The sequence below is a fragment of the Homo sapiens genome, chromosome 4 (genome assembly GCF_000001405.40).
Source record: "Homo sapiens chromosome 4, GRCh38.p14 Primary Assembly".
NCBI lineage: Eukaryota > Metazoa > Chordata > Mammalia > Primates > Hominidae > Homo > Homo sapiens.
In genome coordinates, this window is record NC_000004.12 from 84766435 (window position 1) to 84781310 (window position 14876).

Sequence of the window (14876 nt, forward strand, 5' to 3'; positions counted from 1 at the left end):
TAGTTCTTGGAAAGTTTACTGAAAAATATATCTTTTAGAAAACATTTTCTCCAGGACTGCTTTTCACCAACATGGACAAGAAAAAGGGTCAGTTAAATATTTCTCTTTAGAACTCCGAAAATTGTTCATTTACATTTGACATTTCCTAAACTACTGATAATAAGGCTGTGAGATATTTTTTACATTAATATTCCCCTTGCCTTCCCAGTAGGGGGAAAGTCATCAAATGAGGACCATGTGAATAAAAATAATAATCACCACTGACTCTTAACCTCTCAAATCCTTAATTCTTAGTTTCTTTTTTGAAAGATACAGTTAATTCTACCAGATTTAAAAATTGAAAATAGGAAGCATAGACTTATTCAGTAAACGTAATACATAAAGAAAAGTTAGAATTAAATAGCACAGAAGAAAGGCAAAGGCGCACAAACGCATAAAGGAGAAATTAGAGAAGAAACGAAGAAATGGAGCTGAGACATTCTCAGATAGTACTGCAAGTACACAGAACTGGGCATCAACAACCCAGAGTTCTAGGCCCAGCTCTCCTCCAGCAGAGCTATGAGTTACTGAGTCACAGACCTCACAGAGGCACACCTTTTAATGCACTTTGCAGATACTGTGTTTCTTACAAATTAAAGGGTTGTGGCAACCACACATACAGCAAGTCCAATCAGGCCATTTTTTTTTTTCAAAAGCATGTGCTCACTTCATGTCTCTGTCTTATTTTGGTAATTCTTACAGTGTTTCAAACTTTTTCATTATTGTAATATCTGTTACAGTCATCTGTGATCTTTTATGTTACTATCATAATTGTTTACAAGTGCCACTGTCTTACTCTTATAAGACAGTGAACTTAGTCAAAAAATGTGTTTTGACAGCTCCGACTGGCCATTTACCCATCTCTCTCACTCTTCTCAGGCCTCCCTATTCCCTGAGTCACAATAATATCGAAATTAGACTAAGTAATAACTCTACAATGGCACCTAGATGTTCAAGCGAAAGAAAGACTCATGTATCTCTCACTTTAAATCAAAAGCAAGAAATGATTAAGTTCAGAGAGGAAGGCATGTTGAAAGATCAGACAAGCCCAAAGCTGGCCTCTTGTGCTAAAAAGTTAGCTAAGTTGTGAATACAAAGAAAAAATTCTTGAAGAAAACTGAAAGTGCTACTCCAGTGAACACGCAATGATAAAAAAAAAAAAAGAAAAGAAACAGCCTTATTGCTGATAGAAAGTTTTACTGGTCTAGATAGAAGACTAAATCATCTACAACATTCCCTTAAGCTAAAACATAATCCTGAGCAAAGCCTGAACTCTCTTCAACTCTATGAAGGCTGAGAGAGCTGAGAAAGCTGCAGAAAAAAAGTTGGGGGCCAGGTGCACTGGCTCGTGACTGTAACAGAACATTAGGGAGGCTGAGGTGGGACAATCTCTTGAGTACAGGAGTTTGAGACCAACCTGGGCAACATAGTTGGACCCTGTCTCTAAAAAAATGAAGAAATGAACTGGGTGTGTTAGCACACACCTATAGTCCCAGCTACTCAGAAGGCTGATGTATGAGGATCGCTGGAGCCCAGGAGGCCGAGGCTGCAGTGAGCCATGATTGTTCCACTGCACTCCAGCATGTGTGACAAAGTGAGACCCTGTCTCAAAAACAAATAGACAAAAAGAAAAAACAAAGAAAAGCTGGAACCAGAAGAGGTTGGTTCATGAGGGTTAAGGAAAGAAGCCATCTCCATAACAAAAGTGAAAGACGAAGCAGCAAGTGCTGATGTAGAAGCTGCAGTAAGTTATACAGAAGATTTAGTAAGATAATTAATGAAAGTGACTACGCTAAACAACGGATTTCTCCAACAGACTTCTCAACAGATTTTTTTCCAACAACTTCCTATTGGAAGAAGATGCCATCTAGGACTTTCATAGCTAGAGGGGAGAAGTTAATGCCTGGCTTTAAAGCTCCAAAGAACAGAGCTGACTCTCTTGTTAGAGGCTAATGCAGCTGGTGACTTTAAGTGGAAGCCAATGCTCATTGATCAACTTGAAAATCCTAGGGCCCTAAGAATAAAGCTCAATCTACTCTGCCTATGCTCGCTAAATGAAATACCAGAGTCTGGATGACAGCACATCTGCTTACAGTACGGTTTACTGAAGATTTTAAGCCCACTGTTCAGACCTACTGCTCAGAAAAAAAGGTTCCTTTCAAGATACTACCAGCTCACTGACAATGCACCTAGCCATCCAAGAGCTCTGATGGAGATGCACAAAAAAATTAATGTTGTTTTCATGCTTGCTAATATATCCATTCTGTAGCCCATGAATCAAGGAGTAATCTTGACTTTGAATTAACTTCAAAGTTTTATTATTTAAGAAATACATTTCTTAAGGCTATAGCTGCCATAGATGGTGATTTATCTGATGGATCTGGCCAAAATAAAGTAAATATTTTGGATAAAATTCACCACTTTAGACGCCATTAAGAATATTCATGATTCATGGGAAGAGGTCAAAATATAAACATTAACAGGAGTTGGAAGAAGTTGATTCCAATTCTTATGGATGACTTTGAGGGGCTCAAGACTTCAGTGGAAGAAGTAACTGCAGATGTGGTAGAAACAGCAAGAGAACTAGAATTAGAAGTGAAGCCTAGAGATGTGACTGAATTACTGCAATCTCATGATACAACTTTAACAGATGAGAAGCTGCTTCTTACAGATGAACAAGAAAGTGGTTTCTTGAGATGGAATCTACTTCTGGTCAAAATGCTTTGAACATTGTTCAAATAACAACAAAGGACTCAGAATATTACATAAACTTAATTGATATAGGAGTGACAGTTTTTGAAAGGATTGACTCCAATTTCCAAAGAAGTTCTACCATAGGTAAAATGCCATCAAACAGTATCGCATGCCACACAGAAAACTTTTGTGAAAGGAAGAGTCCATTGTTATAGCTAACTATATTGTCTTTTTTTGCTTTTATTATTATTATTATTATTTTTTTGAGACGAAGTCTCACTCTGTCGCCCAGGCTGGAGTGCAGTGGCGCGATCTCGGCTCACTGCAAGCTCCGCCTCCTGGGTTAACGCCATTCTCCTGCCTCAGCCTCCCGAGTAGCTGGGACTACAGGTGACTGCCACCATGCCCGGCTAATTTTTTTTGTGTGTATTTTTTTAGTAGAGACGGGGTTTCACCATGTTAGCCAGGATGGTCTCGATCTCCTGACCTCGTGATCCACCCGCCTTGGCCTCCCAAAGTGCTGGGATTACAGGCATGAGCCACCGCGCCCGGCCTGCTTTTATTATTTTTTTAATTGACATATAATTGTATGCATTCATGGGGAACAGTATGATATTTCAATACATGTGTACCATATGTAATGACCAAATCAGAATAATTAGCATGTCCATCACCTGAAACCATTGTTGTCTTATTTTAAGAAATTGCCACAGCCACCTCAACCTTCAGCAACCACCACCCTGGTCAATCAGCAGCCAACAATATCCAGAAAACACCCTCCACCAGAAAAAATTACAATTTGCTGAAGGCTCAGATGATTGTTATCATTTTTTAGCAATAAAAAACTTTTAAACTGAGTTATATACTTTTTTTTTTTTTGAGACGGAGTCTCACTCTGTCACGCAGGCTGGAGTGCAGTGGCGTGATCTCTGCTCACTGCAAGCTCTGCCTCCCAGGTTCAAGCCATTCTCCTGCCTCAGCCTCCTGAGTAGCTGGGACCACAGGCGCCCACCACCACGCCTGGCTAATTTTTTTGTATTTTTAGTAGAGACGGGTTTCACCATGTTAGCCAGGATGGTCTCGAACTCCTGACCTCATGATCCGCCCTCCTCAGCCTCCCAAAGTGCTGGGATTACAGGTGTGAGCCACCGCGCCCGGCCGAGTTATATACATTTTTTAAAAGATACAATGCTACTGCACAGATAGTAGACTACAGTATAGTGTAAACATAACTTTTACAGCACTGGGAAACCAAAAAATTTATGTGACTCACTTTATTGTGATGTTAGCTTCATTTGCAGTGGTGTGGAACTAAACCTGCAATATTTCTGAGGTATTCCTATACTTTCCTTCTTTCTAGAACTAACGCTCAGGCTAAAGTTTCATGGTTATATACTTCTACTTGTTTGGAACAATGTACCTGTAAACTGTCCTTTAAAATGCTAACTTAGTACCTTAATCATTATGGATACTTCAAGCTACCAAGAAGAACCCAAGATCCTCACCTCTTCTAAGAAGACAGAGACTGGTAATTTGAAAATTGCCTTATCAAAAGAATATCACAAAACTTACTCTAAGAGCTACTTCCTTTAAATTTTTCTACAATAAAGTAATAATCTAGACAGAAATTAAAAATTTTATTTAACTTTTATGTCTCCTTTTCTTACTGCCACAGTTTTCATTTTTTAGAACATTATACTCAATAAAGTCTTCAGTGCATATCAAATAAATAATAAATGTCATACACTAACAAGACTAGCAATTTGCTTCTGACTTTATTATTTCAAATGACAATAAGCTGATGAGAGTATCAGTCTAATCAACTTGGCATATCAAAAGAAAAATTTACTAATTTATACATCCCTACTTCAATGTTCTATATGAAAGAAAAATTTACAACACTACTATGGTTACTGAATTCAATGGACAGCAAATAAATATGGAAACCAGATAAATATTTTTCCCACCTTTTTTTGTTTGTTTTTAGAGACAGAGTCTCACTCTTGTCACCCAGGTTGAAGGTCAGTGGCACAATTACAATTCACTACAGCCTCAGCCTCCTCAGGCTCAAGTGATCCTCCCACTGCAGCCTTCTGAGTAGCTGGGTCTATAGGTGCACACCAACACACCTGGTTAATTTTTGTATTTTTTGTAGAGACGGAGCTTTGCCATGTTGCCCAGTCTGGTCTTGAATTCCTGGACTCAAGCAATTTACCTGCTTCAGCCTCCCGAAGTGTTGGGATTACAGGTGTAAGCCACCATGTTCAGCCCACATATTTTTTATACTTGAAATAAATGCATTACATATTTCAGCAATCTTTAAAGCACTTTCACTACCTAATTATAATTAGTCAGCCTATATTAATTTAGAACTTAGAAATAATCTTTGCATTTCGTAGGAAAATGTAGTAGTTAAAAGCTTAGAATGCTTGTTTAGACTACCTGGGTTCCTATATAGTCAATGGTATGATATTGGATAAATTTCTTTTACTTGTATCTTTTTGGGCTGCAGTTTCCTCCCTTGTATAATTGGAATAATAGTACCTATTTCATATGGTTATTACAAAATTATATAGAGCACTTAGTAAGTATTCAATAAGTGTTATTCATTGATCTGATCTTTATACTTCTCATCCACTGCTAATTTGCTTCACCAGAGAAATATCAGCATCATTCTAAATGAATTGGCAGTAGGTAACTGTCAGGGTCCTGAACCTGTCACTAACATACTGTGTGATTTGCAGCAAGTCACTTAGTTTTTCAAATCTCTCCATCTCTCCTTTGAAAATTGTAATCACACCACTTTCTCCTACTCATGAAGCACAGGAGAGGCTGTGCTCGGGAAGGACAGACATCATGGAGAACCCCTTTGGGAGGAAGTGATACTACAACAGTTCTTCTCCACCCTCCAGGTAGATGGGGTTGTATGGACTTAAATAATCTATATGATATGATTTGGGAATAATATAATAGGGTAATAATGTAAATAAGGCTGAACAAATATAAGATTCTGAGAATTTAATTCCAGAGGTCAACCTAAAAAAAGGTCCTTTCAATGCATTCCAAGCAACTCTCCTGTCCTAGCATATACAACAAGAAAAACATATGGGAACAGAGGGAGGATATATATGTACTAAATGAGGAAAGGTTTCCAAAAAAAGTACTTGTCATGGACCCAGGAACTTACAACTTATGAAATTATTTTTATATTATACTTACATAAAGTGATACTATGTTATTTTTCTCAGTGACTACTAAATATTTAACAGGGAAGTGAAAATAATAGTAATACAGATATATGGATATAATTTAGTTTAGCAAGTATCATGTTTCTGAAGAGATATACATACATTTAAAAAATCAAATAATGTTCAAATCACACAGGAAGAGTTTGCTATTTAAAGAAACATTGCTATGAATACTCTAAAAATAGGAAATATTTTATTTTTGAAGTAAAATTCACACCCTATTAAATTTTGTAGGCAATACTGTATAGGCTTAATATAAGACAAATACATCAGAGAAGGGCCAAAAACGTAATGTAAGGAGAAAAGTTATACATATATTATATATAATCACATGTAATTCAGGTCTAATTTGGGCCAGAAGAAAAAAGGCATAATATTTAGTTGACCACTATCTTCTCCAAGCTCCAGAATCAACTTACCAGTGTCAAGCTTCTCTTCATTATTTATTTCCATTACTACAAATTTCTCACAAACCGCAAAGGTTGGCAAAGTAGAAGAAATAAACTGCCCAAATCTTTAAACAAAGGAAAACAAGATTATGGATTTTCTTTTTCCTCTTCCCAAAACAAACAACAAAGTACAAAGAAACAAAATACAAAGAATAAAAACCAAAACAGTACTTTTTTTTTTTTTCATAATCTCATTTCATTTTATTCACTTGCAGAAAGAAATGCATGTTCTGATCATCTGGAGATTTTAGTTTCCTTGTTGCCCACTCAGTCCTTCACAGCATACCACCAGCGAGAAAGATAAGAGTAGTGTGGGGGCATGTCTTTGTACTTCTTATCTTAACTAGCCTTTTAAGGACCATTAGGTGATAATATTTAGTTTGCTTCCTCTTGGACCATCCCAAGTAACATTATATAAAATAATGCTTTTAAAATATGGGGAAAATACAGTTCTTCGAAATATGAATTCTTTAATGCACTAACATGCAAATGGTTTCAAAAACCAAACAACATGATCCATATTCGAATGTCCTAACATTATCTGGATGGATCCACTGTAGCCTAGCAGTTAAGAACTTGGGTTTACATATATGATTAAATTCCTGGAGTAGGGGGAACAGGAGAAGAAAAAACATCCTGACTGTATCACATTCGAATTACGTGACCTGGGGCTTTGTTTCTTCATTTATAAAGTAGGGAAAAAAACAAAAACTTTTACAGGTTTAGGGAATAATTTCAGCAAAGTGACCATTACAATGCTAGGAATTGCTTTAAATATACATTCTTGACATAATGATAATTATAATTAATTCTCCAAAATAATTCTTAAGCTAAAGTTTTAGATCTGCCACCAGATTTTTTGTTTGTTTGTTTGAGACGGAGTTTCACCCTTGTCACCCAGGCTGGAGTGCAGTGGTGCGATCTTGGCTCACTGCAACCTCCGCCTCCCGGGTTCAAGTGATTCTCCTGCCTCAGCCTCCCAAGTAGCTGGGATTACAGGTGCCCACCACCATGCCTGGCTAATTGTTCCTATTTTTAGTAGAGATGGGGTTTCACCATGTTGGGCAGGCTGGTCTTGAACTCCTGACCTCATGATCCGCCTGCCTCAGCCTCCCAAAGTGCTGGGATTATAGGCGTGAGCCACTGCACCCGGCCCCCCAGGTTTAAAAATATGTTTTGAAGGCAAATTAATAAAAAAGTGAGTGACTTACAAACTATACAGATTAGAGGTTAGTCCATGAGAATAACTGAATAAATGGGTGTGATTTCACCTGAGATACTTGGTAGATCACATGAACGAACAGTAGTGACCAAGTCCAGTTTAAGCAATTCTCTACTTGAAAAATATTCAATTGTGTAGTTTGTTTTTCTTGTTTTCCTTCTATAATCCCCAAATTTTCCAAAATGGGGATTATCATGTGAACATAAGAACATTTCTACAGACATGCCTTCAATATGCCTTAAACCGCATTTTGCATTGTCTGCAAAATAATACTTATATCATACAAAAAGTGTGGATATGCAACAGATTTAAAATACCATAATCTGTTTGAATGACAGAGAATAAAAAATAGCGGTGGCACACCCACTATTTAGGAGTGTGTATGCGTGCTTGTGCACATACATTTAAAAATTAGCAGGGCTTGGGAAATAGGATTGGGAACCAAGAATTCCTAGACTGAATACTTTATATCCAGGCCAATTTCATTGGGCTAATTCCTACATCTTTTCTCACCAATATTCTACTATTCACTAGTGGCAACAATTAGCTTTGCTCCATCAAGGCAAGATATTGTCTCATTCATGTTTTCCATGCGTCATAAATATTTTGAATCGTATTAACATTACAGGTGTTATTACACAGTCATAAAAACCAATTAAATTCATCTCATCCATCTTAACCTCATTGGTACTTTTAGTTAATAAAAAGACAAAGACAAAGAAGTTTTTCCTACCTGAGCAGATCATTGCTGCTAGGAAAACCTTGCAGTAAGAAGCTCAGGACATTACTAATAGCAGCAATAGTAGGCTGGGATAAAGACATATCTCGAAGAGTCAGGAGCAGCTTTGGGATTAACTGGAATTCTCTCATTAATTTGGCATTCTTTGAGGCTTCACTATAAGAGAAAGAAGATTTTATACACTGTACTATCACCTTTTCTATAGCTGAATAATTAACTACGTGGGTATTAATTAATACCTGGACTCTGTGAGCAGTTCAATAAAGTGTTCAAATAAGGAAAGATGAAGTTCATATGGTGCATGGAGCCAGACCTATAATAAATAAAAACAGTAGTATATTTAAGGTTAAAAAAAATGCCCAAATGCCAAACCAACAAACACCAATACAGCACATGGAACTTATTTCACTTATATAATTATTATCTTGTAAAGTTCTATAAAACCACTTATATGCAGAAAAAAAATCATTATAAATTGGCCAAAAAAATGACCAAAATGATGGAATTATCACACTTTTACAAAGCTAGTTCAAATACCCTCCATATGCTAAAGAATGTATTGAAAAACATGCACATGACGAGGAGCCAAATGAAAGACAACCAAAGCCCCCTAATGAACCTCTAGACATGACAAATAAAATATTTAAAATGAAAAATATACTGGACGGCATTAATAGTAGATGAGATACTTCCGAAAAAAAATTCAATAAACTTGAAGACATAACAATAGAAATTATTCAGAATGAAGCATAAGAAAAAAATACTAAAAAGAAATGACCAGATTTAGTGTATGAGTGATTTGAGACAGTATCAAGCAATCTAAGATATGTGTCATTGGTGTCCAGAAAAGGGAAGGGAGTGGCAGGAAAAATCATTGAAGAAATAATGGCTAAAAAATTCAAATGTGATGAAAATGACAAACTCACAGATCAATAAACCCAAGCAGAAGAAACATTAAGTGGACAAAGGGGACAATGAAATGACTGACATCTTTAATGTGTGAAAACAATAAAAACAGTCAACTAGAACTCTATTCCATGCAAAAATGTCCTTCAAAAAGGAAGAAAGAAATGGAAGACTTTTCCAGATGACAGAATTCACTGCCAATATTTCTGTAATACAGAAATGTTAAAAAAAAATCTCCAGGCAGAAAAATTACACAAGATGGAAATGGAGATTTACACAAAGGAATAAAGAATGCTATAAATACTATATATGTAGTCAAACAGAAAATAATTGTAAAATGTTTTTTGAAAATAATTGATCATTTAAAGCAAAAATAATACAAACTATCGTAGGGATTATAAACATATAGAAGTAAATGTATACAATAGCATAAAAATGGGAGAAATGAAAGTCTCTTATTGCAAAGTATTTATAAGGTATAATATTCTTCAAAGATAGACTGAATTGTTTTAGATGCACATAATAAATTCTAAAACAATCACTAAAAATTGTACATGGCATTGCAATTATTTTACTTATATTTGTCAAATGAGTATTCTAAAAATTTGGTAAATTAGGTATTTATAGACTACTTGTGGTTTGGAGTAATTAGGGATGCTATAAGAAGCCATAAAGTGAGCAATGTACTATAAAATAAAGCAAAATTTATTAAGCAACTAAATTTCTGATGTTTGTATATTGAGTTTTAATCAGAAATCTGAAACTGAAGATAATCCTTGATTTAAATGTGTCAGTTACCAGGTGAAAACAAGGTTAGGCTGGGTTAGGTAGGTCTTCTTAGTGTTCCCATAATCCCTTCTGTCTACCATCTCTGGGCTTTCACAAGTTTTAAATTATCTATTTCTTTGTCTTTTTCCTCTAATGGACTAAATGCCTTGAGCTGTGGACTCTTACTTTTTCTTTTCACATCCTTAGTAACTAATATAGTGTTTGCCTCAAAAATACTCAGCAAGTGCTTTCTAAAAGAATAAGAGGTTTGGATATTAGAACTTTGAATACTAGGCTGAGAAATGTGTACTTTATAGTGTAGAAAAGGAAAATCACTGAAAGTCCTTGAATAAATGATACGATTATGCCTTTGAAAGAATGAGGTCCCAAGGGTATGTAGGACAGCCTGAGCAAAGGGAAAAAGAAGTGATAGTTATCCTAGTATGAATAGGAGAAGAATTGATTAGGGCTTGAATTAAGATATAGCAGTAGAAGCAGAAAAGGCAGACTACGAAATGTGAAAGTAGAACCTATATGACAATATCAGACTGTTTATACACAGGGAAGAAGGAAGCTGATGTTTTCAATTTCAAGACTTGGTGACTAGGGGAATGGTGGTGTTATTAAGAGAAATAGAGAAGTTAGAAGGAAGAACTAATTTGGAGAGGGATGCTAAGTTCAGTTAAGGTGTTGGTGGGACAGTGCTGACTGAGCAAGAATTAAAAATAAGTCTGGAATTCAGATGTCAAGGTTAGAGATTTAGATTTGAGGATCAACTCCACAGAGATGAGACCGTCAGCCTAGGTAAGAGTTTAAAGAAAGGAAAACAACAAATAAAGGAAAATGTAAAAAAGTAAAGATGAACATCCTTACATAAAATAATGAAAACATTGCTGCAAGAAAATAATAGAAAAAAATAGTAAGAAAGATGTAAGAACCAGGATATTAACACCTGAAAGCTAGCAAAAGAAGTATAACTTGAAAGAATATGAGGGAAACAGACAATAGCCAATGTTACTGAGAGCTGCGGATGCTGAAAACTGAGTACAGGCCATAGATTTTTATTTAGGGGGAAGCTTCTAGTAAGCTTTGAAAATACAGTGTCAGTAAAGCAATTAGGGCACACTGTTTGTGAGGGATTCAATAATTGACAAAACAGAGCTTACAGAAGTTGTGAGGAAGAAGGGTTAGGGCCTAGACACAAGAGTTCGCAAATATTAAGTGCTAGGCACTATTCTAGGTGGTAGGAACACAAAGACAAAGAAGATAAACATGATTTCCCCAATCATAAAGCCCATAGATCCTACAGTTTCACAGGGATATATTACATAAATTTAGTACATAATAACTAACATGCAAAGTGCTGTAAACAAGAAATTAAATGGAAAAAGGATATAAGTGATCACGAGTTGCCTTGAGAGAACAGAGTGTAAGCTGTTACAGTAATAAGCCAGTAGAAATGAAAATGCCTTTGAAAGAATGAGGTCCCAAGGGTATGTAGGACAGCCTGAGCAAAGGGGAAAAAGAAGTGATAGTTATTCTAGTATGAATAGGAGAAGGATTGATTAGGGCTTGAATTAGGATATAGCAGTAGAAGCAGAAAAGGTAGACTATGAAATGTGAACATAAAATGAATGATATTTTACCATGCAGCTGTAACCAAAATTAGAGGTCTAGGTCCTATTTATCAAGAAAAAGTTTCTATCAGAATTGCCTGATGAAACTATGTTTGACTCATGTAATGCCACTGCCAGCAGCAAATCAGCTAGTTAGGGATATGCATCATACCATTTCACTTCTAAAATATTTGCAAAATGGAATATCCTTGGAGAAAAGGAACCCCAGCATTATTCTACTTTTTATATTTTACTAAATGATATTAACATGAACATCATAAAATTATAGGGCTTTAAACACATTTTAGAGATAAAATAGTTTATAATCATATGGAGTAAGAAATGCATTCATTGATTATATATTATCAATTATGCTTATATACATACTTCAAAATCACAGAGGAGGTCCTGGAAAGCAGTTGAATTTGGAATAATGGAGGTCTCATGTCCACTATCAACAGTTCCCACCAAAGAAAAAGTTAGATGGAGGATGTGGCTGTTAAGAAGGGAACGTTTCTTCTTAAGCAACATTGCCAGCAACTACAAGAAAGTAATACCAAATGCCTGTTGATAAATCATCATATATATTCATTACACACACACAAACACACACATACACACACAAACACACACATACACACACAAACACACACATACACACAGAATCCTATGTAGATGATTTTCTGAGATTATTAAGTTAATTTCTAAATTTTTATTATGAAAATATAACATTAGGTAAAATCTGAAAAACAAAGGGATCTTAACATTCTATTAAAATATCCACTTTTACATTTACCCTTTCAATTCCATTATAAATATGTAAATAGTTACCAACGCGTGCATAAAATTGTATGTATAATGAAAACATCACAGCAAGAATATAAAATTGTATGCACATGATGGTAACTACTTAAATATACACTTTTTGTGTTATAAAGTATTTTTTTTTGCAACACGGTCTTAATAATTACAATTTTAAAAGGTTGAATGATAGTCTATGGAATGCTTAGAGTATAATTAGTCATTCTCTTATTACTGGTATATCTAGATTGTTCTATTTTTTCATGATAAACAACGCTGCAATAATCATTTTGAAAGTTTTGCAAAAGAAAACACTTATTGAAATACTATAATTAAATCTATACAACACAGTAAACAGTATATTCATTATCAATAAACTAATGGTTAAACTTGCAGAAGGCATTTGTACTTCGTGTATGATAGGTTTTAATCTTGCTTCAAGTATTTGTTCCTCTTCTTACAAGTGATTTTTTATCTAATTCTGACTGTGGATACATAAATGCTGCTTTTTTTTTTTTTTGAGTCTTGCTCCTTCGCCCAGGCTGGAATGCAATGGCGCAATCTCGGCTTACTGCAGCCTCCGCCTTCCAGGTTCAAGCGATTCTCCTGCCTCAGCCTCTGAAGTAGCTGGGATTACAGGCACATGCCACCATGCCTGGCTAATTTTTGTATTTTTAGTTTTCAGGAATAGCAATGGTACACTTATTATGTAGTGGCTTTCACGTCTCCTGAGTAAGTAACAGAGATAAAAGATGGTGGGGTGTGAGGTGGAGGGGAGAGAGAAGGAAACAGGGAGAGCCCTGAATCTACCATGGATTTGGCAATCCTTTCAGGAAGGGGGAATAGGACCCCATTTCATTTCTTTCCCATTTCCACAGAGAAAAACAACATTCAAACCAGCAAACCTTTGTTCTGAAAATAAATTCAATGTATTAAAGCTATATTGAAATAATGTTGCCTAACTCAAGTGTTTAGTAAGATTTGATAAGATAGGAGAAAAAGGATAAAGCAAAATAAAGAAACAATACATACTTTCATTTGACATATATTAGTTTTCATAAAACTACTGTCTCTTTAAGTTTCCTTGGACAATATAATTCTTCCAGAGTTTCAAACAACATGAATGATAATAAAAAAGCAGAGTATTTTAGGTGCCAGGTGAAGTGAAGGCAAAGTTTTACAGTTACAAACCTGGTAGCCCTTGATTCTTTCCATTTCTTTGCTGGCTAGTGGGTTACTCTTGACCACACAAACCAGGGCCTTGACTGCTGCATATAACCCTTCCACATCAGAGGCCATGGCCACCAGGCCCAGGATGGCTGCAGCTCCACCAACGTACTGCAAAGTAGTGGCAACAGGCTTAGGGACAAATGTTCTTACTCCTGATTAAAAGATAGTGAAAAATAATTAAGATAAATTCCCCATGTGAACAAGAACTGTATACATCATCTTGAAAAGTTTTTTAATTAGCAGTGTTTTATTTTAAAAATATCTTCTGTCTATAATGCAAATTCTAGGGAAAGCATTAAAGGTAGAATTTGGGACAAGGCAATACAGGCTGGCTGGGCACGGTGGCTCACACCTGTAATCCCAGCACTTTGGGAGGCCGAAGCAAGTGGATCACAAGGTCAGGAGTTTGAGACTAGTCTGACCAACATGGTGAAACCCCAAACCCCGTCTCTACTAAAAATACAAAAATTAGCCGGGCGTGGTTGCACGCGCCTACAATCTCAGCTACACAGGAGGCTGAGGCAGGAGACTCACTTTAACCTAGGAGTTGGAGGTTGCAGTGAGCCGAGATCGCGCCACCGCACTCCAGCCTGGGTGACAGAGGGAGACTCCCTCTCAAAAAATAAATAAATAAATAAATAAATAAATAATAAAATTCTTTGAAAAGGAAAAAAAGCTAATCTACATACTCTTAGAGAAGACTGGGTGTAGAGGAGTGAGCAGAGAAGAGCAGGGCTTTACAGCAAGCACAAATGTTTCTACTGTGTAGCTCTGGGCTGTACTCAAAAGTAAGTGGTCTTGAGAATGCATTTCTGAGTAAGTAAGAGTGCCTTACTAGCATCTGTTGGGGAATAACCTTGGGGACAATAAAAGTCACTTTAACTCTGTGAACTGGAGAAAGGTTTGGAGAAGCTATCCTGGCGGGGATGATGTATTTCCTATAGATAAACCAAGCAAAGCACATTACTGACCATTACCCAGAGCTTCTCTTGGTTAAGTAATCTGTGTAACAGTACATCAGTAACTTTAGGAGAGCATAAGTTTATAGAAACACAGTCCTGGAACTGTGTGCCAATTAAAAAAAAAAAAATCACACCTACATTCCTAACATTTTAAAGAGGCATTGTTTGAATGTCACTTGCCTGCTGACCAAGACTGAGATTT

General features: G+C 36.1%; 1 protein-coding gene across 29 annotated transcripts in view; it reads right to left on the reverse strand.

The window, feature by feature from the left end:
* WDFY3 (WD repeat and FYVE domain containing 3) overlaps positions 1–14876 on the reverse strand; it is a 297094-nt gene that overhangs the window by 96838 nt on the left and 185380 nt on the right. For all 29 annotated transcript variants that reach the window (XM_011531759.3, XM_047449858.1, XM_011531763.4 and 26 more), the window contains 5 exons: positions 13674–13864; positions 12069–12221; positions 8631–8704; positions 8386–8547; positions 6401–6495 (listed from right to left, as the gene is read on the reverse strand). In XM_011531759.3, coding sequence (XP_011530061.1) covers positions 6401–6495; positions 8386–8547; positions 8631–8704; positions 12069–12221; positions 13674–13864 — 675 coding nt within the window. The remainder of the gene's footprint in view (positions 1–6400; positions 6496–8385; positions 8548–8630; positions 8705–12068; positions 12222–13673; positions 13865–14876) is intronic.